Source organism: Homo sapiens, chromosome 3, assembly GCF_000001405.40.
Source record: "Homo sapiens chromosome 3, GRCh38.p14 Primary Assembly".
Lineage (NCBI taxonomy): Eukaryota > Metazoa > Chordata > Mammalia > Primates > Hominidae > Homo > Homo sapiens.
In genome coordinates this window covers 127895854-127921964 of record NC_000003.12, presented here as the reverse complement: position 1 = coordinate 127921964, position 26111 = coordinate 127895854, and the positions used below count along the sequence as shown (strand labels likewise).

Genomic DNA, 26111 nt, shown 5'->3' with positions numbered 1-26111 from the left:
ATGGGAAAAGTTAATACATTTCTAGATTATGAGTAAGATAATATCCTTTTGGGGTGACTATTCTCCACTTCTCTGCTTAAACCCAGCTGAAGAGTTTTGAGAAGTGAAATGGTCCTGTTTTAAAAAGAGCATCTGGATATCCCCAGATTCCCAAACATAAATCAACTTCTTGAATAAATATTTTGCTTGGATGCAGTTTGTCTGTCTCAAAAACATTGGCTTTGACAACAACCACAAAAAACAATTTATTTGAAAACGGAAATAACTGGCCTATATGTATTTGTTGTATCCCTTCCTTCCAACTGCATTTCATACAACTCCTGAAAGCTACTCTAATTGTTAGGGGTTTATAGACCAAATGAATTTACTGATGGAAATCCAGAAAAATACCTGGGCAGTTATATTAGCCACCACACCTCAAAAAAACATTCTCAGCTTTGTTTCTTGTACATATAAGGTACATAGAAGACACTCGCATTGTACATGGGGGCTTTCCCTGGTTTGGATCCCAGTTTAGCCTAAACCTTGGCTTCTTCATCTGTAAAATGGGAATAATGTACACAAGTAAAGTAGCTAAGTTAGTCTTTGGCATCCAAATGATCAATAAATGGACATTATTATTAGTTTCCAGTGATATATCATAGTAAGCTCAAAGGTTAGGAACACAGATTTTGGCTTGGGTGACCGAGACCTGGTTTTGAATCCTTACTCTATTATCTAGCAATATTAACACGTTCCTTAGCCTCTTTATGTTCTAGTTTTCTCACCTGAAGTTCATTTTGAGAATTCCATAAGAATATTCAGGAGAATTAAATAAGGCCATGCATGTACAATATGCAATTTTCTTGGTAAAACTGGCTTGGTAAAGGTGAAGCAGGATATATCTATATATTTTTCAAATAATAAAAATATTTGGGTACATATACAAACCACTGTGGGTATAGACACAGCTCCTAAGTGAAGAGAGCTGATAGTAACTTTCCCTTGTAATGAGGGCAAAGTACATTCTCCTTTCATCAGCAAAACAAAACTGTATAAATGTTCTCGGTGATATAAATGGGAAGTTACTCACTGCTTCAATTTATAGAAGACTGAACTGGTGCATTCATAATAATAGTACTCATAGTAATAGAGAAAAATGGAGTAGCAAAGATGCATATAAATCACAAGAATAAACTCTAATTACTTTCTAAGTCCAAAAAGCAGTTATACTCCTGTCCACTATATTTCATTTTGAGAAATGGACCACTGTAAATATTAATGTGGTGCAAAAAAAGTCAATTTCTTTAAGCCACGAATGTTTGACAGTGTTTAATTTTATAATCTTTACATTATCTTTACTATATTATTTTTACTGCTTAAGTTGCTACTTTCTCGAAATAATGGTTGATATATGACCGTGCCTTCTTTTCTAGGAAACTCTCCATGTTCTGCTGAAGTTTCACTAGTTTAAATTCACAGCAGCACTGTTTGAAATAGCAAAAATTTGGAAATAACTTAAACATCCCTTAATAGGAGATCAGATTGTAGTATATTCACTAGAGAATATAGTACAGCAAAAAAAAAAAAAAAGAATGAACTAGATCTACATGCGTCAACATGGCTGTATCTCACAAACATAATAATGTGTGAAAAAGACTGTAGAATATACATGCCACATACCACTGATATATTTCTAATATGCAAAGCAATATTATATGTTCTAATAGAGTAAATACTGATGATCGATTTCAACAAAGTAAGTATGAGCATTTGGTGAATCTGGCATAGGGCATATAGGAGTTTTTTGTACCATTCTTGGAACTTTTCTGTAAGCTTGGAATTGTAAATTCTTTAAGGATCTGTACAACTGTAGTGGAATATAAAGACATGAAGGGTAATTATAAACCCCAATTTCAAGACAGTGTTTCCCTTCAGGAGTTGCAGAAAAAGAGGGATGCAAGTGGGGAAGGATGACAAGGAGTTTCAACTGTATAAATGTTTAATTTCTCCAGCTGTTTGGTGGGTATCCAAGACATGCTTTATTATTCTTAATGCCTCTTTGTATATCTTAAATATTGTATAAGTTTAAAATTTTAAAAAACTGCATTAGGGTCACAGCTTTTGAAAAACCTCAATGTTGTAAACCATGTAAACCATGTGTGAATTATCAGATTTACATATACATATATATATATATTAGAGAGAGAGATAATAGATACATCATGAATTTTCTTTTTAATGTGTCAGGGTGTAGGTAGCCCAATTTATGAGTGATTGGAAAAAACAAAAAATTATGACCTCCTTATCTAGTCTGAATGAAGACTGCTTTGAAAACTGTGGTTATAGCCCTCCCTCCACCTCAATATCGCTGGCATCCGCCTGTATGAGAGGGAAGAGCAAATACAATTCCTAATCCTGCTTCAGTGGGAAAAGAAGTTACTGCATTCCTAAACTGGCATGTATTTTCTCCCATAAAAATGTTCAGTGTGAACTTTGGGAGGCCGAGGTGGGTGGATCACAAGGTCAAGAGTTCGAGACCAGCCTGACCAACATGGTGAAACCCCGTCTCTACTAAAAACACAAAAATTAGCTGGGCATGGGGCTTGCGCCTGTAATCCCAGCTACTCAGGAGGCTGAGGCAGGAGAATCACTTGAACCTGGGAGGCAGAGGTTGCAGTGAGCCAAGATCGTGCCACTGCACTCCTGCCTGGGTGACAGGCTGTTTAAGTTATTTCCAAATTTTTGCTATTTCCGAGACCGTGTCTCGGAAAAAAAAAAAATTCAGTATAGTGAGTAGCTTATAATCATGATAGAGTTGATCAACATCAAACCCACTGATTTTTATCGAGGAAAGACTGAAGACAAGAGAAATGACTTGGACAGGGCTAAATTCCAGTCTGTGGATAGGACAGGAGCAGGGTCTTACACTTTGTTCCTTGGCAATCCAAGGAACATCAACATTATGATGTCAGAAAATGATGTCCCAGTTTCACTGTTTAAAAAAAACCATTTTTAAGGGTGGGATCCTTTTGTACATTGGTCACTACCGTGTATAAAGTTATTACCCCACATTACAAAAATATCCCGGGCCTGTTTTCACCAACACTACCCCTCATTCAGGCATTCTGGCGCCTCCCAAACTTTCCTGCCTCGTCTCCTGACTTTCCTTCCTTATATTTTTCAATCTTTGAGTAGTACCAAACTACTACAGTTCTAACGCATATGGGCCTTTAACACGCTGTTCTCTTTTCTTTTTCTTTTTTTTTTTTTTGAGACGGAGTCTCGCTCTGTCGCCCAGGCTTGAGTGCAGTGGCGCGACCTCGGCTCACTGCAAGCTCAGCCTCCTGGGTTCACGGCATTCTCCTGCCTCAGCCTCCTGAGTAGCTGGGACTACAGGCGCCCGCCACCACCCCCAGCTAATTTTTTGTATTTGTAGTAGAGACGGGGTTTCACCGTGTTAGCCAGGATGGTCTCAATCTGCTGACCTCGTGATCTGCCCGCCTCGGCCTCCCAAAGTGCTGGGATTACAGGCGTGAGCCACCGCGCCTGGCTAACATGCTGTTCTGTCTTTACACGTGTAAATCTGTGTCAGAAATATCTCCCCCATCTACCTGAAAAAATATAACCTGGTCTTCAAAATTCAGCTCAGATATCACTTCCTCACTGACGCATCCCTTTGCTTTCTTGCCTGTGTTGTGTACACTGTGGTTGCTGCACTGCTATTGCCATTCACTTTTGCAGATGCTTGCCTCTCCTGTCAATGATGAGCACACTGCGGGTAAGGGACTTGTCTTCGTCACTTCTGTATTCTTGAAAATGTTTACTTATTTATTTTAGAGACAGGGTCTTGCCCTGTTGCCCAGGCTGGGACCTCAGCCTCCCCTGTAGCTGCACCACTACATGCACCACTATGCCTAATTTATTTATTTATTTTTTGTAGAGACAGGGTCTTACTGTGTTGCCCAGGTGCGTCTCAAACTCCTGGCCTCAAGCAATCCTCCTGACCTGGCCTCCCAAAGTGCTAGGATTATATGCTTGAGCCACCATACCTGGCCATTTCTGTATTCTTGTCTGTGATGACACTTAGCACACAGGAGTTGCTCAATACGGTTTGTTCAATTAAATTAATGCTTTGTTTAGTCCTAAATTACAAGTTAATGATAACTTTTCTCTAGGTTTTGTACATGATAATAAAAGATTATATTCAAGATTTTTTCTACATATAAAATTTATTGTGATACTATAAAATATTTATTTGGTGTTTGCCCTTTTCCTGACATACAACTCCTAAAATCCTTGGAATCTCCAAAGTGATAAATACCTTTCTGTACACTAATGAGTTGACTGAGGGCTGGCAGCCTCTAGAGCTTCAGGATAGGAGCTGGTCCCCGGAAAGAATAAGGCAGGATTAGAGCATTGGGACTTTCAGCTCCATCCCCTGACCTCCAGGGAGAGGAGCAGAAAGTTAAGTTGATCACCAATCAAGCATGCCTATGTAATGAAGCCTTCCTAAAAACCCCAAAAGGACAAGGTTTGGAGAGCTTCCAGGATAGCTGAACATGTGGAGGGTTCCCGAAGTGTGGTGCACCTGGCTGTACCCCTTCCCCCATATCTCATCCTATATATCGCTTCACCTGTATCCTTGTTAATATCCTTTATAGTAAACCGGAAAACTTAAGCGTTCTTCTGAATTCTGTGAGCTGCCCTAGCAAATTAAACCCAAAGAGGGAACCCCAACTTGAGATGGGTCAGTCAGAAGCTCTGGATGCTGGGACTAGTGTCTGAAGATAGTGGTAGCCCTGTGGGACTGAGCTCTCAGCCTGTGGGATCTGACGCTGTCTCCAGGTAGATGGTGTCAGAATTGCACTGAGTTAGAGGACACCCAAGCTGCTGTCTGCTGCAGAACTAAGTGATTGGTTGCTGATGGGGAGAAGTCTCCACATACCTCTTGGTTAGCAGAGGTTACAGACATTTTCTGTGTTCATTGTGTGAGAGCAGCAGACAAACAGTTCTGTGTTTTTTCCCACTCGCCAACGCTTAATGCTTCAAGTTGCTATCCTCTTGTTCCAGTCAAATCATTCAGAATCGTGAAGTGACTCCCTTGCTTATAGCGTGATGCACTATGACACCCAGTTTTCACTTGCACCCTCAAAATTAATTCCCAGTCATTTGCTGTCTGGGATTTGGCCCCATTCTTAAGGAACTACTGAAGCCATGTATTGGCTTCACTTACGCCTGAGATTACAAATTGGCTGCTCAGTTTTTTTTTTTTTTTTTGCTTTTTGTTTTGTTTTTGGTAAATTAGCTGTCAACATGCTAAGCTGAAATATTCCAGCATCTACTGAAAAAAATGAAAGGTATGGCAACACTGAGTCCTTAATTCCCAAGCGGCAACAATGTGCAGGACCTGAGTACCCAGCTGCCACCTCTCAGCTGGCACATCTGCTGGGCCCCATTATCCTCTTTGAGACCTGAGGGACAGTCATTATTTGTAATTCTTACGCTGTTGCTTTTCTCTTTCCTGTCCATTTACATTATCCTACAGCCATTTAAGTTTGTGACCCCCAGTTTATACGATTACGTCTCCACACCCTATTTTGTTTCAGCAACACCATCTTGCTAAAATCCTACGCTTGCAGAGGCTGGTAGGAAATGGCTGAGAACACACGCACCACCCTAAATGTACTCTGTGCTTCTCACTAGCATGGAAAAAGACCTGATTCATTTCATAATAATCCATCCCACACACCGGGCATCCAGTAACAGCCAGGCACATGGATGATAAAGACAAATAAGACCAGTTTTCTTTTCTTTTCTTTGCCGAGTTCACACTGTTTTGCATTCTCACAGTGCTTTATACTTTTCAAAGTGCTTTAATCCGCATTATAGCTCATTAGTTCCTCTTAAGAATCATTTGGGGGAAAATGTAGGGCAATTATTCTCCTGGCTTTAAAGTTAAGAGAGTTGCTCAGGGATACATTCAGGGTTTATTAAACTTAAACGAACCCTTCTAAGTGCCAGGCACTATCCTAGGTTCCGGGAAGACAACCAGGAACAGGGAAGTGCCCCTTACCTTTGTTGTGCTTACAGTCTAGCGACGGAAGGCACAATAATACATTGGTCAGGTAATTCGGAGGATGATAATACTATGCAGACTACGAGCCTGAACAACCCGACGGTGAAGGTCGGAGACGGCAGAGATGGCCTGGAGGAGCAGCTCCTGGGAGCCCCACCTGACGCCAGGCGCCGGCCCACTGCGACTCGAAGGAAGTCACTTAGAGCCGAGGCTGCAAGTGCCGGTGGCCCCGGGTCGGCGCCCAGGTTCAACCTGGCCCGGAGTTGAGGCAGGGCTTGTGACTGGGGGCCGCGTTCCCCCGGGGCGCTACCCCTACTTACGAAGGTGCTGCCTGGTTCGGGGCGCGTCCCCACTCGCTGGGCCACGACCTGGCTTGGACGCTACCGTGTGGCAGGGCGGCCAGCGGGCCTGACTGAGGCCACTGCCCAATATGGGCCTGTGCTGGCTGGGCGATATAAATAGAGGTCCCGCGCCCTGCGGAGGAGGAGGGAGGGCGCTGGCAGCGCCTCCGAGGGGACAGGTGCTGCCCTCTGCTTGGAAGTGGCCCGAGACCACGCCGCCGCTGCCCTCCAGCCACTGTGCGCCTGCGCACCTATTCCCGCGCTGGTTCCAGACGGCGACTACAGCCCCGGTGTCGCTGCACAGGGTCTCCCCGCGCGCGTCCCGTACCCTACTGAGCGTCCCCCGCGGAACGCTGTGCGCCTGCGCAGAGTGTTCCCGCGCTGGCCCGCGTGCCAGAGCGACTGAAGGCCTGCGGGGAGGGGATGGGGACAAGTGTTTAAAGGAGGTTTGGAAATCGAGCTTTGAAAAATGCCGGTGTTCCCGTTAGTCTTTTACACTTGCAAAATGACCAAAAGACCCCGTGTGTAGTCTCACTGTGACCGGGGGGTAGGGTTGCCCGGTAAAATACATGAGCCCAGTTAAAGGTAAATTTCAGATACACAACCAGTAATTTTTAGTGTTAAGTATGTCCCAAATATCGCATGGTCAATTCACGTTTAACTCGGTGTTCCGGTTGGGTTTCGTTTTGGTCTTGTATTTTTATTTGCTACATCCTGAGCCATCAGCTTGTGATTTTTATACCCTACACCTCTCTGAGAGTGGGAGGTTTCCAGGAGTCCCGAGAAAGGACTGGTTAGCCGGGAGCAGTGCAGGGATGGGAAGTCTTCCTTAGGCAAGTGTCATAAAATACGGCAGCTGTATTAGCTCAGTTAGCTTAAACCAAAGCAAAATAAAACTGTTTTCAGTGGTGGCAACATAACTTTATTATCTTACTATTATTTTAGCTCTGTAGGTCAGAAGTCCAAAATATGTCTCACTGGATTGAAATCAAGGTGTCAGCAGGACTGTGTTTGTTTCTGGGGCTTCCTGGAGTGAATCTGTCCCTGCCCTTTTGCAGCTTCTGGAAACTGTCTTCATTCTTTTGCTCCTGGCTCCTTCCTCCAGCTTCAAAGCCAGAAAATAGGGCTGAGTCTTTCTCACATGCATTGTGTCTGCAGTTGGTTCCTTTCAGTGGGCTTGTGGTCTCCATCTCGCTAACTTCAAGAATGAAGCCACGGACCTTAAATGTTAAAGAAAGCTTTAAAGGTCACATGGACCCAAACAGTGAGGAGCAGCAAAATTTATTGTGAAGAGCAAAAGAACAATGCTTCCACAACCTAGAAATGGACCTGACTGGGTTCCCTGTGTTGACTGGGTGGCCAGCTTTTATTCCCTTATTTGTCCCTGCCCATGTCCTGCTGATTGGTCCATTTTACCAAGTGCTGATTGGTCCATTTTACAGTGTGCTGATTGGTCCATTTTACAGAGTGCTGATTGGTCCATTTTACAAACCTCTAGCTAGCCACAGAGAGCTGATTGGTGTGTTTTTACAGAGTGCTGATTGGCCCATTTTAGAAACCTCTAGCTAGCCACAGAGCGCTGATTGGTGCGTTTTACAATCCTAGCTGCAGAGTGCTGATTGGTGCATTTTACAATCCTCTTGTAAGACAGAAAAGTTCTCCAAGTCCCCACCCAACCCAGAAGTGCAGCTGGCTTCACCTCTCAGCATCACTTTGACACTAACTCTTCTGCCCACCTCTTCCTTTTTTTTTATTGTGGTAAAATATACATAACATAACATTTATCATTTTAATCATTTTTAAGCATAGTCAGTGGCATTATGTTAATAATGTTGTACAACCATATCCAGTATCCATTTCCAGAATTTTTTCATCCTCTCAAAAGAAACTTGGTACTCCTTAAACAATAACTTATTTCTCCCTCCCCTTTAGCACCTGGTAACCACTATTCTACTTTTTGCCTCTACGAATTTGCCTATTCTAGGTGCCTTATATGAGCAAAATCATACAGAATTAGTCCTTTTTTGGGGGAGGGGGATGGGGACGGAGTCTTGCTCTGTCGCCCAGGCTGGTGTTCAGTGGTGCGATCTCAGCTCACTACAACCTCTGCCTCCCCCGTTCAAGTGATTCACCTACCTCAGCCTCCCAAGTAGCTGGGATTACAGTCGTGCTCCACCACGCCCAGCTAATTTTTGTATTTTTAGCAGAGACGAGGTTTCACCATGTTGCTCAGGCTGGTCTGAAACTCCTGACCTCAGGTGATCCACTCGCCTCAGCTTCCCAAAGTGCTGGGATTACAGGAGTAACCCACCGCTCCTGGCCAGAATTTCTCCTTTTGTAACTGGCTTATTTAACTGAGTATAATGTCCTTTCTTTTCTTAAGGCTGAATAATATTTTTCTGTGTATATGTGTGCCTTTATATACCACATTGAAAACAAAACAGATTTTATATGGTAAGTAAAGTCCCTTTAAACATTTTAGAAGGTATTCATGTCAATGAAGAATGCTTGCATGCATTCGTATTTACACTTACTTTTTTTTTTTTTTTCCTTTTTTAGAGACAGGGTCTCACTTTGTCATCTAGGCTTGAGTGCAGTGGTGCAATCATAGCTCACTTCAGCCTCGAACTCCTGGGCTTAAGTGAACCTCCCACTTCAGTCTCCCAAATAGCTGGGATTACAGGTGTGTGCCACCATGCCTGGCTAAATTTTAATTTTTTTTAGAGAGAGATAGGATCTCGCTATGTTGCCCAGGATTGTCTCAAACTCCTGGGGTGAAGCCATCCTCCCACCTCAGCCTGTCGAGCATACACATACATACTTACAGTTATTTGGGGAAATTCCTGTATCCTTTCCCCACAAACATCCCTTGATCCAGTTAGTCCTAGTTAGATCCTTCTGCGACTATTTTCTTTCCTGCTTCTGGTTTTGTTTATGAGATGTTTGTGTGAACCTAATGAATCTTTCTCAGCTTGCTTTGAAGGCGCTGTTCAATTTCCTATTGGGCTACTTTATTTTACCTTTTTCATTTGTTTCAGGAAGAAGTGGAATATGCTATGAAGAGTCAGGGCTTGGGGTCTGGAGGCTAATTTAGATGCTGGGCCATATCACTGAGTGACTATAGTTGATTCTCAAAACATCCATGTGCCAAATGATTAATGAAGTATTAATATTTATCAAATCTACTGATTTATCAATAACTTGATTTAAGGAATATGCATCTGGAATATATCATATATGAATATGTACTTTTTTACTCAGCAGTAACTTACTATTCTTTTTCTATTTACTGCTCCTTCCTACTGGGTCTCTCTCTCTTGCTCTCGCTCTCTCTCGCTCTCTGTCTCTCTCTTCTTGAGGTATTTTCCCTCCTCTTTCTATTCAAAGCTTTATTTTCAGTCTTTGCTTTCTTACAGTGTTGAGTTGTTTCTCTGTATTCCTGTGTGCAGATTTTGTTATTTTTATATAATTTATTCCTTTATTCTTTGAAGCTGATCTACCCCTGTCTGGCTCCCTTTTATTGTGACTAGACTCTGGGCAGCTTTTTATTGACACAGAAACCATTTTTTTTTCCACACACCCACTCCCACTCCATATCATTCGTACCTTTTGAAGGAGGAATACACGTCTGAAATAGTACTTCTCACACAGCACAGCCTGGTTCTTGTCTTGAGCCAAGTCTGTAACTTGGCTTAAGCAGTTTCCTCATTAGATAAACCCTGGCTCTTAAATGAAAAACAAGCAACTTCATTCAATCCCCAAAACAGCCTGCCGCAGCACGAAGAGCAGCCACACCCCAGTGGTGCCAGCTTTCTTCTCTTTTTTTTCCATGTCTGCCCTCTTACTAGCTTGCACCAGTTCTGCTGCTGCATGATGTTGTCTGTGGAGTGATTTTTTTAAAAAGTATCAGCTGCTTCTTTCCATCCTCCTTCATCATGTATTTCCTTTAGGAGACTTTGTTCCTCTAATCCGTTCCAAAAAGTAAAACTATTCCAGGCTCATTGCCTCAGGGGGAGAGTCAGGCCGGTGGAAAACAAGGAGGGAATGGAGGAAATGGTCTCCTCTTAACACGTTCCATTCCAGAAGTCCAGGCCCTTTCAGGAAAGCCACGCGTTACTGGCATGCATGAAACATTTGGGCGACAACCTAAATTAGAGCAGTGCATCCTCCTGCCATATCCCCTTCCCCAGCTGAGGAGAGGAGGCAGTTTCTGAAGAACAAGGAAGGAGAGCATAGATTTTCCTAGGCTTTGAGGAAGAAGACCTGCATCCTGTTTGGCTGGACTAATTGTAGGGAGGCTTGTGGGATCTAAGGAGAGAAGGAATGGCTGTCTCCCTTGCTGAGAAGGGTCACAGGGAGGCAGCCAGAACCCAGTGGGCAGCAACGACTTCATAGTGTGGCTGAACAGCGAGGGCTCCAGACAGCTCTTCCAGAGGCCTTGGTGTCCCCAAGGCCCTGATACAGTAGAGAGAGCCACTGAACCAAGGGGGCCCATGCAGACAGGCACATAGGGAGCCCTCACACAACCAAGAACCAAGGACAGTGGACCTCTCTGTGGGTGTCAGTGCAGACAGATGGCAGACGTCGAGTTCCAGAAGGATGCCCCTTCCCCTGACTCTGGTGTCTTGGTAAGAGCCCCCCTCCCAAACTTAGAGGTGACCCTGGGAAAGGGGAAGGATTGGGCATCCTGGTGGCCTGGGGGCTTCAACTAGAACTTGTTAGCACAATCAGGTTCTGTTTCTCACACACATTAGCTTGTGGACTGTCACACACATCAGCTTGTGGACTGTCAAGATGGAAGGCTTGACATAATACAAGGTCTGGCCTGGAACCTTAGTTTCAGCATGCTACAAAGAGCACCTTGAAAGAGAGATAAGAAACAGGAGCTGAACTGATTACCACTATATAATTTGCTGATTCCTTTTGTCTTGTCTATTCACTCTCACCCCCAAATGTGAGCTCCCTGAGGACAGGGATTACATCTGTCGTGTTCACTGCTGTATTCCCAGCCCCTGGGAAAGTGCCTGGCACAAAGTAGGTACTCAGCAAATGTCAGCACAGTGAATGAACAAGTGAGTGGGTCAGAGTCTCAGTTACAGAGTGGAATTCATTCTGGCTTGTCTGGGAACACCACACAAGCGGGTTCAGATGTTACAGCCCTGGGAGTGATGGCTCTTCTTCAGCCAAAAGAAATGCCCCTGCCCCATGCTGCTCCGCCCCTGTTCCAAGACGGAACTCCAGAAGCTTCCACAGCTGCATCAGACTCTTCCCTCATAGTGCCTACCAGATGACTGTGTCTCTCTCAGGCTCCCACCTCCCCTCCACCTCCAGGTCTCCTGGGAGGGCCTCTGATGACAGAGGCAAGTCACAGGTCTGCACCCTGACTTTGGGATGGTCCAGGAAATCTAGCTTAAGCATTTCTTTGATCTGTGTCAGCTTCTCTAGTTGGAGGGTTGGAAGGTGTATTGCCCCTTGCCCCCTCCTCCTGAGGTTCGTGACCTGTGAGAAGCTAAACCACTACCACTGGAGAAGGCTAAAGGTGAGTGGCATCCTAAAGAGAGCTGGGGTGGCCACGTGGGGGACGGTCCAGAAAGCACAGAGGAGAGGCTCAGGAGGAAAGGAAGAGTGGAGAACAGGACTAAAAACAGCACGTAAAAAGCACTAGATGGTGATGACGTGGTAGAGAGCAGAGGCCAGAGGACTTGGAGCCTGAACTTGAGTGCTGACTTCCAAGAACAGGCTGGCAGGCCTGATGTGTTTAGTCTCACCCACTGCTGTGTGTGTGTGTGTGTGTGTGTGTGTGTGTGTGTACATCAATGCCTGCAGCTTCAGGGTCAGCACCTGTGGGAGGGTGGGGCTTCCAGCAGTCACAGCTCCTTCATTTTTTGTCCTTCCTAACTGTCCTGGTCTGAAGGGCTTGGAGCTCGGAGCATTGTTGCCAGGGCCCATTACATGATGCTCACCCTACAGAGCTTCATACAGTGGCCATGTGGACGTACCTGTCCTGTTTCCCTAGCCAACCCCAAGAGCTCCTGCAGACGAAGAACTCTGTCCTGTTCACCTTTATGGTCCACTCACCTGCCTAGCTCAGGCCCTTAAGAGAACAGAAGATCAGGGACTGATTTGAGGTTATTGAGAGGAAAAGCAGGTAAGCAAAAAGGAAGGTGGACCTGGGGATGAGATCCCTGGGGTCCTGGCCCGGCTCTGCTCCCTAAGACCTCTTGGCCTATGGAAGTCATTCAGATTCTTGGAGTATGATAGGCAAATGATAATGGGTCTGTCTCTCATCCATGTTATTAGGAGAATGAAATAGGAGAGCTAATGGGTGTGGAAGTGCTTTGATAAACTGTATAGTAACATGAAGTCATTTCCCCATAAGGCATGTGTTATTAATAGAAACTCCTTTCCTAAAGATCTTGAAAATGGGACGTAAAGCCTTCTCTTATTGCTGATCTTGATTTCATCCTGTCTTGAGGCAAGAGATGGACTGTATTTCTTTTGGAGGCTCTTCCACTTTAAGAGTGCATCTCAGGGAAGCATGGGGAATGGAGTTACTATCTGTGTCTTCAGCCACACTCTTCCATGCCCATGATGATAAGTCATGTTCAGACTTTCCATCCTTGGAGTATTTGAGGTTTTACACAACTTAATCTAGTAGATATTGGGTTTTTAAAAGGTCATGAAACCCTCCGGAAGCCAGCATTCTCTCCATATTTCAAGATTATTTCATTTCTGCCCACAATTAAATCCTCAAATCCTGAATATATGAATACTCAAATTCTGTTTTAGACAGGGTCCAAGTAGTTTCTTAACACAGGCAGGACTAATTGTTATTGTTTCATTATTAAGCAATGACCAGTGATCTTGTATACTGTATGAATTAAGATATATAGGCTTGGCTGCTCTAACAAAGAATTAGAATGAGGATTCCCTAAACCAGACAGAAGTGAATTCCCTTTCACACAACTGCTAAGGTGGGAGCATTCCAAGGCTCTAAAGTGGCTCCAGGATGTCACTGACTGCCCCCCGAGTTTCCTTCTCTCTTCTTGTTCCACCTTCCCAAAAGTATTGCTCTCGTCCACGTGCTCCAAGATGGCTCACCCTACCTCCAATGGGAGAAGGGAGGGGAGGGGGAAGTTAAAAAGAGGAAGGGGAAGTTAAGAAGAGGAAGGGGAAGACAAGCCCTTCCCTTTAAGGGCACACCCAGAAATCACACTTCACTTCTCATACCATTGGCCCTGAGTCACGTGGCAAACCCAGGGGGTTGGGGCTGGGAAATGTAGTCTTCCTGGGTGGCCAGCAGTTCTTTTATTCAGAAGAAGGGGAGGACAACATTAAGATATAGGGAGCACTCTTTGCCATGCACACTTTCTGTAAATGCATTGGTTTCTATAGTTTCTATGGATTCACACAAACAGCCTTGTCAGTTCTCATAAAGCCTCGTGCCTCTCCTTTCCGTCCCTTGTCTCCGGTTTACTTTTGCCTTGGCACATGTTATTGTGTGATTAATGACTCTTCTCCCAACTAAGCTGTAAATGCTGTGAGGGCAGGGACTGTGTCTGTCTCTGCTCATTCATCTGTCCCCAGAGCCCAGCACAGTGCTTGGCACAGATTAGGTGCTCAATAAATAGTTGCTGAGTAAATTAATAAATATAATTAGGAAACTTCTCACCATCTCCCAAGCTCAAACATTACCTCTTCTTTGTATCTTTCCTGGAACAGATCACTGTGGAATTACTGATGCCGTCGTCTGTGTTCCCAGAGCACTCCCACTGTGTCCTGCACTGGTAGATGGCCTTTGGCCCGTGGCATCACAGTGGTTTAGGGTCTCGTGCCCCGCTGACTGCTGAGCTTCTCCAGGGCAGAGAGCGACGGCATCATCTCTGCATCCCAGGGCTCAGCACACGGCTGGCACATATGAGGCCCACAAGGTGAATTGATTTATGTTTGAAAATGAACAGCTTCTATGTAGAGCACATGTAAGTTTTTATTTTCCAGTCATGTGCTTTCACCTACTGTTGTTGTTATAGCTCTTCTCCCAAATAATTCTTCTTTAATAATGTTCCAGCCCTTTCCTTCCACCTGCTAATGCAGAGAAGCATGGGAGAAGTGTGGGAGCAGAGAACCTCACACCATGTTGCAAAGAAAGGTTGGGATCCAGCGTATGATCCACCAATGTGACCTGTGGAACCCCAACCTCTCCCTAAACTCTCACCTGAACTATGGATGTTGTATTTTCCTGTTATCAGAGTAACTTGGCATTAATGTTGAGAGGGTAATACCTCCCTCTCCATCTGTCCATCCCTCTAGTCATTTAATAGATATTTATTGAGCACCTATTTTGTGCCACATATAGGTAGGTACTATGTCTAGATATGGTAGAGCCTGTGTTTATTTTTTTAATGTTTATATCTTTTTTATTATACTTTAAGTTCTGAGATACATGTGCAGAACGTGCAGGTTAGTTATATAGGTATATACGTGCCATGGTGGTTTGCTGCACCCATCTACATTAGGTATTTCTCCTAATGCTATCCCTCCCCTAGCCCCCACCCCCTCACAGGCCCTGGTGTGTGATGTTCCCCTTCCTGTGTCCATGTGTGCTCATTGTTCAATTCCCAATCGTGAGTGAGAACATGCAGTGTTCGGTTTTCTGTTCCTGTGTTAGTTTGCTTCATCCATGTCCCTGCAAATGACATGAACTCATCCTTTTTTATGGCTGCATAGTATTCCATGTGTATATGTGCCACATTTTCTTTATCCAGTCTATTATTGATGGACATTTGGGTTGGTTCCAAGTCATTGCTACTGTGAACAGTGCTGCGATAAACATACATGTGCATGTGTCTTTAAAGTAGAATGGTTTATAATCCTTTGGGTATATACCTAGCAATGGGATTGCTGGGTCAAATGGTATTTCTCATTCTAGATCCTTGAGGAATCACCACACTGTCTTCCACAATGGTTGAACTAATTTACACTCCCACCAACAGTGCAAAAGCGTTCCTATTTCTCCACATCTTCTCCAGCATCTATTCTTTCCTGACTTTTTAATGATTGCCATTCTAACTGGTGTGAGATGGTATCTCATTGTGGTTTTGGCTTGCATTTCTCTAATGACCAGTGATGATAAGCATTTTTTTCATATGTGTGTTGGCTGCATAAATGTCTTCTTTTGAGAAGTGTTTGTTCATATCCTTCACCTACTTTTTGATGGGTTTGTTTGTTTTTTCTTGTAAATTTGTTTAAGTTCTTTGTAGATTCTGGATATTAGCCCTTTGTCAGATGGATAGATTGCAGTGTCAGATGGATAGATTGCAAAAATTTTCTCCCATTCTGTAGGTTGCCTGTTCACTCTGATGATAGTTGCTTTTGCTGTGCAGAAGCTCTTTAGTTTAATTAGGTCCCATTTGTCAATTTTGGCTTCTGTTGCCATTGCTTTTTGTGTTTTAGTCATGAAGTCCTTGCCCATGCCTATGTCCTGAATGGTATTGCCTAGGTTTTCTTCTAGGGTTTTTATGGTTTTATGTCTTACATTTAAGTCTTTAATCCATCTTGAGTTAATTTTTGTATCAGGTGTAAGAAAGGGGTCCAGTTTCAGTTTTCTGCATATGGCTAGCCAGTTTTCCCAACACCATTTATTAAATAGGGAATCCTTTCCCCATTGCTTATTTTGTCAGGTTAGTCAAAGATAAAATGGTTGTAGATGTGTGGTATTATTTCTGAGGCCTCTGTTCTGTTCCATTGGTCTATATATCCCGTGTCTTATAGCTAGATCCAGCTGTGTGAGTAAGACAGACATTGTCCCTTAGAGAATACAATCTGGTGAGGTGCCAGGTAATCAGTCTCTCACATATTAATTCTCCCTTTGTTTCGTTTTCAAACGTAGAAACAATTTTTTAATCTTAAAAAAATTCCAAAAACCTCTTAGCTACTTTTGCTGCCCTTCCTAGCAACTTTCTCTCATCTTTCCTTTTCACTGGCAAAGTGTAAAATGTGTAGCTTGAGCTGGTGCTATTGATTTCCTTGCTACTCATTACCTCCCTGCTTCTGCACTCACCACTCTGCTGAAATTGCTCTCTTCGTGGGCACAAAAGGCCCAAGAAACCAATGCCCCTTTCTCAGGCTCATTAGCAATAGGTTCTTCCTTCCTTCTTGGAACTATTATATTCTTTATCTGACAGTGATTTCATGTTATAGCTTTAGCCTGGGCAATTTAAGAGATTTATTTTCCCCTCAAAAGAGTTGAGCCTTAAAATAAATCTGGACATAAAACACAATATTTTAAAATGTTTTTACTGCAAAATACGTAATGCAACTAGTAAAAATTCATGCCATTCAAAAGCATATGTACCCCAATCCCCCAAATTCTAGTTTCTCATCTCCAAAGGGACTATTATCAGTTTCTTGGATGTCCCTCCAGAATTATTCTAGGAAATTAATATTTAGAGGTCACCAAGATGCTTTGTATGGAACTGAGGATGGAAGCAGGAAGAGAACAAAAATTTATTTTGGGGGGGTAAGGTGAAGTGTTGGAATAGAGGCAAAGATAAGCAAAGGGATTCTACCTAGATGATAGGGATGATGAATTGAAGACAACTACAGGTTTAGCAGCCTTTAACGTGGGACACTGGAAGAATAAAGGATCAGTGGTAGAAATGGGATCAGCAAATGGCGACGGGTAGTGCTCCTTTTTAGAAATTGTGAGTTTGAAGTGATTTAAGATGATTGGGCAGTGGAAAGAGCCCAGGACAGGGGTCAGAAGAACTGAGTGAAGTCTAAATGCTACAACTAAATATAAGACTTTGAGCAGAAGAAACTTTGAGCCTAAGTTCCTTCAACAAGGTTTTATTGAATACCTGCTTGTGTCAGGCACTGATCTAAGCACCAATAATACAGCAAAAGATGAAAGCCCCTGCCCTACAGAGCTTACATTCTAGTGTAAGCTAGAGAGGCAGACCACAAACAAGATTGGAATATATTTCCATGCAGTGATAAGTGCTATGAGGAAAAATAAATCAGGATAAGGGGCTAGAAAAGGTGGGTTGGAGTGATACCATATATAAGGCAATCAGAGAAGGCCTCTCTGAGGAGGTGACCTGAAGGACAGAAATGAGTTTCGGGGAATTCAGTGGACTGTCTCCATGGGCACTTCCACTGTATGGTCTATGATTCTAAGTGAAGACATCCTATAGTAACTTAGAAATTAGGGCCTAGGGCATAGGTATTCTTAAGATTAGGGAGAGAGATGTGTATCTGATGAGCTGCCTCAGCCTGGAGCCCTGAATGACTGCATGGATGAGATGACAGAAGCCATGAGATCAGAGATGAAACTATGTTAGAAAAGCAAGACCAAACACAATGAGCAGAGGCACACTAAAAGCTGGGGGAAGAGTGGGGGAGGAGACGATAATGAAGGAGATAAAAAGATGAAATATTCTACAGCTGAAGAACAACAGACAGAGACAACATGGTTGCAGATACCCAGCGAGGAGGAAGTGGTGTTGAAGAGGGTCAGATTATGTAAAGAGGTAAAGAACTGGGATAAATCCTCAGGATTTGGCTAAAAAGTCACTGACAATGTTCCTGGGCTGTGTCAGTGGCAAGACAGAAAGCAGAGGGTAAATTACATGGAGTAAAGGAGAAAGCAGGCAGTGTAGAGTGAGGCTGAGAAATCACCGGCCTCAGCGTGCATGGCTTACCACACTAGAAGCTTATCTTTTGCCCAGGCAGCAGCCTCAGGCAGGTGTCAGCTATCAAGGCAGCTTCCCCCGTGACCACTGGGGCCCTGGCTGTTGGTGGCTCTCCATGGCCTCCTGCTCATTCAGAAGGGAAAGGGTGTGGAAAAGACCATGTAGGAGGTTTGCACAGGTCAGGCCTACAGGAGGCACATCTCACCCTGCTCACATTCCACTGGGAAGAACTACACCATATGATCACGTCAAGCTGCAAGGAAGTTTAGGAAACTAGTCTGGCTCTGGGTCCAAGAAGAAGTGCAGAAAGGATTTTTGGTGAACAGTTAGCCATCTCTTTCACAGAACAACAGGAAGTGGGGACACTGGGTCCAGACCAGCACTTGTGATAGTGGGACATCAGTCCCTCAGGATATTCTGGAATACAGAGTTCTAAGAACAGTTTGGGAAATGCCAAGTTCTATGTCCTTTTTTGGAGAATTAGAATGCAGTCTTAAAAGTGCTAGTGATCCTGTGGTTAAGAGACAAAGCATTTCCTAAATGTCCTTGACTTAGGGACCTCTGGATTTCTGATGTGACTGTGGGTCTGGGTATGATGCAGACTAAGATCATGTGGGAAAAACCTGGGAAACACCACTGAAGCTTGAGAGGACCTCATGCTAAGAAAGGATGTGTTAAGATAGAAGTGCAAAATCTTGTGTAAGGGTGAACACCAAGACCCCTTGGTGAGGGGGAGATTCTAAACCTTAGAGGAGGAAGGAGATTGTGGGGCTGAGGCAGGGTGAGCAGAAGAAATGGCAGCCGAAGCAGAGGCAGGAACATCAGCCGTCTCCACGGGGTGTGGAGAAATAGACTTTTACTGTAAAAGTCAGACGGGAAGAAATAAGGGGGCTTGGGATGGCCCCTTTGGGTGATTGGGAGAGGAGATGGCATGAGAAGTCTGAGAAGGTGTCTAGAGTGAAGCTGTGAAGAATCAAAGGACTGGATGTTTAAAGTCTTCTGAAGAATGGAGATGGATGGAAATCTGAATATGTTTTATGAAAATGCACACAATTGGATTTGAAGATTAGTAAATCCCTGTCTCCCAAGCCTGCTCAAGACAGTCGTAGAAGCAGTGACAATTGGATCCAGCTGACCAGTAGTCGCCTCAGCAGCTCCTAGTAAGCCTCCCAGCATGCGGCGGTGCCTGTGATTAGTGGGTTATTTGAGCTCACAGTTTGCATAATGCCTTTTGCTCCTTCTCTCCTGTAATCCCCACGCCACCCAGGAAGATGTGAGTCTCAGGATGGAAAATGGTGACCTCCAGGATGGCACAGCTCTTGGTAAGGGAGCTGGCCATGGGCCCCATCCTCTAGCTCCCGACCTGTTCCCTGCTGCATCATCTACTTGGTATTTTCCCTTTGCATTTTCATACGGTCCCCAAATGGGATCGGTGGGTCCTCTCTTGTCTTCTCTGGATAGAGTTTAACAGAGCAGGGCTTTGTGGCACTCTACTAGAGGTACCTCTCTGTTAAGGGTTGAATTGTGCCCCCCTGCAAATTCATGTGTTGGAGTTCTAACCCCTGGTACCTCAGAATGTAACCTCATTTGAGAGAAGTTGTGTACACAGGCGTTCAAGTTGAAATGAGGCCATGAGGGTGGGCTTGAATTCAGTCTGGCTAGTGTCCTTGTAAGGAGGGGAATTTGGAGACAGGCATGCATATGGCAGACACTATGTGAACATGAAGGTGGCCGCCTACAAGCCAAGAAGAGGGGCCTGGGACAGATGCTTCCTCACAGCCCTCAGAGGGAACCAACCCTGCCAACACCTTGGTCTTGGACGTGCAGCCTCCAGAACTGTGAGAAAATAAGTTTCTACTGTTTAAGCCCCCAAATCTGTTACAGCAGCCTCAGGAAACTAATATGCTACCCTAAGCAGATTCAGCCCATTTTCTCTGAGTGATGTTGAAGTTGCTGTAAAAATGCCCTCAAGTGTTATATTAGCTTATCCAGGAAGATGTACGAACCACTTGGCTAAAAACTTGGCTAAAATCAAGCCAGGCATGTGGTGGCACACAACTATAGTCCCAGCTTATTCAGGAGGCTAAGGTGGGAAGATCACTTGAGCCTAGTTCAAGGCCAGCCCAGGCAACAGAGTGGGACCCATTAAAAAAAAATGTGCCAAAATTAAGGTTCACTTTGATGATGATTTTACAAATGATGATGATCATTTGTAAAAACTTATCTTAGAAAAGAAAATAAGGGTAGTTTGACTTAATTTGCATATATTTATTTATTTACTTTTGTAGAGGAGATCATATTGACCCATAGAGACTCTCACAAGTTTTGCTAAGGGTTCACAAACTGTCCATTAGAGAATACCTACCAGAATTTGTCCATGAAACAAGTTCAAGCTTACCAATTTACAGTGATCATAATCCACTTTCTGGCAATTGCAATGTTTGCCCATCAGGAGCCTGTGTTGTCAGATCTGAGTTCCTTTAGAGTGGCTGAATATTCTCATCCTACTGGCTCACCTGCTTTTGGAATGTATTTCTCTCTCCTTTCATTCTGAAAAATTTTCGGCCAGGCACGGTGGCTCACGCCTGTAATCTCAGCACTTTGGGAGGCTGAGGCAGGCAGATCACCTGAGATTGGGAGTTTGAGACCAGCCTGACCAACATGGAGAAACCCTGTCTCTACTAAAAATACAAAATTAGCCAGGTGTGGTGGCACATGCCTGTTCCCAGCTACTCGGGAGGCTGAGGCAGGAGAATCACTTGAACCCAGGAGGCAGACGTTGTGGTGAGCTGGAGATTGTGCCACTGCACTCCAGCCTGGACAACAAGAACGAAACTCCGTCTCAAAAAAAAAGAAAGAAAGAAAAAAAATTTTCAAACATACAAAAAAGTTGCAAGACTATTTCAGGGCTTCCTCATATAACTTTCACCTAGGTTGACCAGTTATTAACTTTTTACCGTGTTTATTCATGTGTGTGTGCATACATACACACATTTATTTATATTTATACAATTTTTAAATTTATATATAATTTTATTTTTTCTAAATATTTGAGAATCAACTCCAGACACTGTAACTCTTCACCCGTAAAGACTTAAGTGGCTGGGCATGTGACTCATGCCTGGAATCCCAGCACTTTGAGAGGCCAAGATGGGAAGATTTCATGAGCCCAGGAATTCAAGACCAGACTGACCAACATGGCGAGACCCCGTCTCTACAAAAATACAAAAAATTAGCTGGTCATGGTGGCATGTGCCTGTAGTCCCAGCTACTCTGGAGGCTGAGGTGGGAGGATCAGTTGAGCCCAGGAGTTCGAGGCTGCAGTGAGCTGTGATTTTGCCACTTTACTCCAGCCTGGGTGACAAAGCCAGACCCTGTCCCCCCAAACCCCCTCCTCCACCCCCCCAAAAAGAAGATTTAAGCATGTAATTCTAGAAACAGGTATATTCTTTTATATATCTATGGTGTAATTACCAAAATTGAGACATTTAACATCAGTAACAAAACTATTATTGTATATACAACCCATATTAAAATTTGCCTAAGTCCTAACGCCGTCCTTTATACAGTTTTCTCCAATCCAGGAGCACACATTCCTTTACTTGTCATTTCTCTTTAGCCTTCTTTCATCAGGAACAGTTCTTCAGCTTTTCTCTGCCTTTCCTGACCTTGACATTTTTGAAAAGTGCAGACCAGTTATTTTATAGAGTTATTCTATTTGGGCTTGTCTAATGATTTTTCCTGCTTAGATTCAGGTTACGCACTTTTGCCACACGTTTAATTTTAAAACCGGTGTCTTTCCTGAGGAAGATCTGAAGAAAAATAGTAGCTGCATGAAGTGGTTCTGCCTTCTATTATTAATCTACTTACACTACTCTTCCCTTACAGCAGAACTTTCACTTCTTTGTTCTTGTTGCCCACATGGTTTTAAAGGCCTTTTTTGATGCTGTTAGCAGTTTTCATCCTAGTCAATCCAAACAAGGCCTCAATTTTTGTGACTTAATGCTGGTGGTAGCACAGGGCTTTGGAGAAAGATGTCCCTGTCTGGGTTTGAATCCTGATTCTATTATTTACCTACTCCCTCTTCTTAGACAGATTTTACTAATATCCTTGAACTTCAGTTTCCATACATATAAAAATGGTGAAATGAAGCATTCATCTTGCAAGACTATTGAGAAGATTAAATAACACAGAGTGAAAAACACATGGCACATACCATGTTTAAGAGAATGCTTCTCACTTTCCTTTCCTTCCTTCTACCAGCCCCAAGCCATGCCTTTCTATCTCTACCCCGGCACTGTGGCTGCAATGGTGCCCACCCACATTCCCCCTTCAGCATGGAGATGCATTCCACCAGCAGCGGAGTGCTAGCTGCTGAGGGCTTCTAGCTCAGTCCCCTCCAGGAATTGCCCTGCGCTGAAAGGAGCTCCCTTGCCTGAGGTTTCTTCCCCTCCTAGAGGCTGTCTGCAACACGTCACAGAGGTCCTGAATTCGGGATAACTCCAAAGGGTCATCTTACATGCAGAGCCCCCAGGAGGTCAGCTGAGGCCTGGATTGCAACTGCATGGCAGCCCAGCTTCTCTCTGGCCAGCTTCTCTCTGGCCAGCCCAGCTTCTCTCTGGCCGCCTTACAAGTGTTGACCCACATGCACTCCCTAGTAGGCCACCTACACACACGTTTCAGCCTCAGAGCCTGTTTCCTGGGGAGCTGATCTGTGACACCTGGTGACAGTCTCTGGCCCTAGATTTAATCTATGTTATTCATTTTGGGAAAAATAAAGCCATATTGAAAATTATGCCCATTATGTAAAATTCAACCAATGCAGAAAAGTTCAAGGAAGATAATAAAACTCACCCAAAGTCCCAATATTTTTAAAGTATCCTCACATCCATCAAGGTGCATGTGTGTTGAGTGTAGGGGCGTATTTTATACAGATAAGGTTATGTACTACATGCTATGCTGGAATTGTGGCAGAGAGTGTGGTCCTTCAATACCCATCCTCTCCTACTTCCATTGTAACAGAATTTATACACCTGACTGCCTAGAATAAAGACGATGTTCCCTAGTCCTCCTTAGAGCTAGATATGGCCATGACTAGGTCAGGCCAATGGCATGTAGGAGGAAGTTGTGTGGGCAACTTCTGGGTCATCCTCAAGGACAAAGGGACATCCTCTTTCCTTACTCTTTTCACTGATGAGAGTACTAAAAAGGCTTTTAGCAAAAAATAGCAAACCCTGTTATTTCTTGATTTATCCGTTTTAAAAGTTCTATATTGACTTCATGTTTTGGCATCTGAGGTTTAGATGTCTCATATCCTCTGTGTGTGTAGGCACCAAGAGTTGCATTGTGGTTGGATAGTTTGAGAGCCTATGAGACACCCAGCTGGAGATTTCGGGGATGCCATTGGATAAGTGAGTCTGGCCCCACCTAGCAAAAGGTTTGCTTTCCTTCTCATGCCTCCAAGCTCAGAAAGTCTAATTCCCCACTCCTGTTTCAAAAATTTTTATAAACAATTATCTTTTCTTTGGTTTTAATTTTTTTAAGGGTTTCTGTTTTTATGAAAATATTATACTCAGTGATAAAGAAGTATGAAGCATTGTAAAAAAGAAAATAAAGATCACCCAGAGATAACCATTGTTAACATTTTGATTCTCTTTCTCTAGGAAGACTTTGTTATATTGATTGTAAATATTGTATTTTTCCTTGTGTAAGATTTGTGTTTTAGGCCAGGTGCAGTGGCTCACGCCTGTAATACTAGCACTTTGGGAGGCCAAAGCAGGCAGATCACCTGAGGTCAGGAGTTTGAGACCAGCCCGGCCAACATGGTGAAACCCTGTCTCTACTAAAAATACAAAAATTAGCCGGTTGTGGTGGCGAGTGCCTGTAATCCCAGCTACTTGGCAGGCTGAGGCAAGAGAATTACTTGAGTCCGGGAGGCGGAGGTTGCAGTGAGCCAAGATTGCGCCACTGCACTCCAGCCTGCACAACAGAGTGAGACTCCATCTCAAAAAAAAAAAAAAAAAAATTGCGTTTTAATTTTATCGTGCTTTTAAACATAGAATTTAAACTTTGTTATTTAATCGGATTTATTCATCTTTTCTTTTTAGGGCTCCTGGGTTTCATACTTAGATACTTAGAAGCCCCCTCCCTGAACAGATGCAACTAAACATTACAAAATTGTTCTGTTGTGTTTTCTAGTACTCTTTTGCATGTATTTTTTACATTTAAAATTTTAATCCATCTTGAATCAATTGCAATGAAAGAAGAGTATTCCTCTTCTTCCTAAATAGTACAGTGAATCCATCATTTATTAAATAATTTATCTTTTTCCTACTAACTTAAAATGCCACCTTTATCATAAACTAAACACTCACATGTAATTGGATCATTTTCTGGACCTCCTGTTCACTCTTCACTTCAAATTTCTTCCTGCACTTCTATCAGTAATATGCCCTTCTAAAGGTTGCATCTTTATTTATGTTATTATTATTATTATATATTTTTAGTCAGGGTCTCACTCTGTCACCCAGGCTAGAGTGCAGTGACGTGATCAAGGCTCACTGCAGCCTTGACCTCTTGGGCTCAGGTGATCCTCCCACCTCAGCCTCCTGAATAGCTGATACTGCAGGCATGTGCCACCACGCCCAGCTAATTGGTAGAGAGGGGGATATTGGTAGAGATAGGGTTTCACCATGTTGCCCAGGCTGGTCTTGAACTCCTGGGCTCAAATGATCCTCCTACCTGGCCTCTCCAAAGTGCTGAGATTACAGGTGTGAGCCACTGAGCTTGGCCTAGTCCTTCACATCTGTACTCTTTTGTTAGTCAAGAAATGTTTTCTTATTTTTATTTTCATTTTTTATTATTGGTACAGTTGTAAATCTTTTCATATGGTTTTGTCCATTTGTATTTGTATTCTTTCATAATATTTCTCATTCTACTTTGCCCATTTTTCTCTTACAGGTTTGCTTTATTTATTATTGGTTTATTTGAGGTTTGAGATATAAATGATATTTTAAATGTTAGCTTTTCTTTCTGTAGTGTATTATAAATACTTTCCTCCTTTTGTCTTCCAACTCTGTGGAGTTTTAAAAATATCTGTCGTTGGTGTTTTCTGGGTTTCACAACATGTTTAGAAATGTTTTTCCCGTCCAAGTTGCTATGGATTGAGTTGGTCCTCACCAAAACTCATGTTGAAATTTGATCCCCGGTGTGGCAGTGTTGGGAGGTGGGGCCTAGTAGGAGGTGTTTGGGTGGTGAGGATGGATCCTTCATGGACAGTTTGGTGCTGGACTCCTGGTAATGAGGGAGTTTCCCTGGGAATGGATTAGTTCCCACAAGAAAGCACATTGTTATAAAGCAGATGCCCATGGGTTTTGCCTCTTTGCATGTTCTGACCCAGCATGCGGCCCTCCCCAAAACCTAACTGATAAGGTGCCATGCTTCTTGAACTTCCCAGCCTGCAGAACCAACAGCTAAATAAACCTCTTTTAAAAATGAATTACCCAGTCTCAGGCATTCTGTTATAGCAACACAAAATGGACACAAGTTTATTACAAATGTACCAGTTTTTCTTCCAATGTGTGTATGGCTTCATATATTTTAAATCTTTAAATTTTGACCCATTTGGAATTTATTTTGTTCAACAGAGTAATATGGAGATCCAGGTTTCTTTTGTCTTTTTCCAGGTATTGAGCTAATTGTTCCAATCCCATTTATTACATGATCCATCTGATTTGAAATTCTTTCTCCTATAACAAATTTCCCTATTTATTTCTGTCCCTTTATGCACTCTTTTTTTTTTTTTAACCTGTTGTGCTATCTGTTTTTCCTGGCTGAGTAACATTATACTTTCATCCCTATAGCTTTATAATATTCTTTAATATGTGCCAGGGTAAGTTTCTTGTCTTTCTCAAAATTTTCTTGGTTATCCTTATGCATCTGTTTTTCAACTCAAATTTTAAAATAATTTTGTCTAATTTCTAAGAAAAATCGTTTTGCAATTTCATTTGGAATTGCAAA

General features: G+C 43.2%; 1 protein-coding gene and 2 long non-coding RNA genes across 7 annotated transcripts in view, besides 1 other annotated feature; 1 reads left to right on the top strand and 2 right to left on the bottom strand.

The window, feature by feature from the left end:
* The window catches only part of KBTBD12 (kelch repeat and BTB domain containing 12), a 72446-nt gene extending 65713 nt beyond the window's left edge, over window positions 1-6733 (bottom strand). For 3 of the 5 annotated variants that reach the window (XM_047447589.1, XM_047447590.1, XM_047447591.1), the window contains exon 1: window positions 6056-6490. The gene's annotated coding sequence lies outside the window, so the exon portion shown is untranslated. Of the gene's footprint in view, window positions 1-6055 lie in introns of all 5 variants that reach the window. The other 2 variants (NM_001370224.1, NM_207335.4) reach the window with 1 other exon arrangement.
* Window positions 1-26111, top strand: part of LOC107986129 (uncharacterized) — a 90956-nt gene that overhangs the window by 1286 nt on the left and 63559 nt on the right. The window contains exons 2-3 of the long non-coding RNA XR_001740896.2: window positions 1918-2001; window positions 3724-3760. This is a non-coding gene — a long non-coding RNA (uncharacterized LOC107986129). The remainder of the gene's footprint in view (window positions 1-1917; window positions 2002-3723; window positions 3761-26111) is intronic.
* LOC124909427 (uncharacterized) lies at window positions 7299-10259 on the bottom strand. Its single transcript, XR_007096071.1, has 2 exons — window positions 10006-10259; window positions 7299-7619 (listed from the first exon to the last, which is right to left on the bottom strand). It is a non-coding gene; the product is annotated as an uncharacterized LOC124909427 (long non-coding RNA).
* Window positions 24586-24790: a silencer, noted in NCBI's record as "fragment chr3:127616018-127616222 (GRCh37/hg19 assembly coordinates)". NCBI's record gives its function as "represses an EF-1alpha promoter that drives an FKBP-Casp9 reporter gene in an ReSE screen in HepG2 liver carcinoma cells {active_cell/tissue: HepG2}" and the evidence as "EXISTENCE:reporter gene assay evidence [ECO:0000049][PMID:32094911]".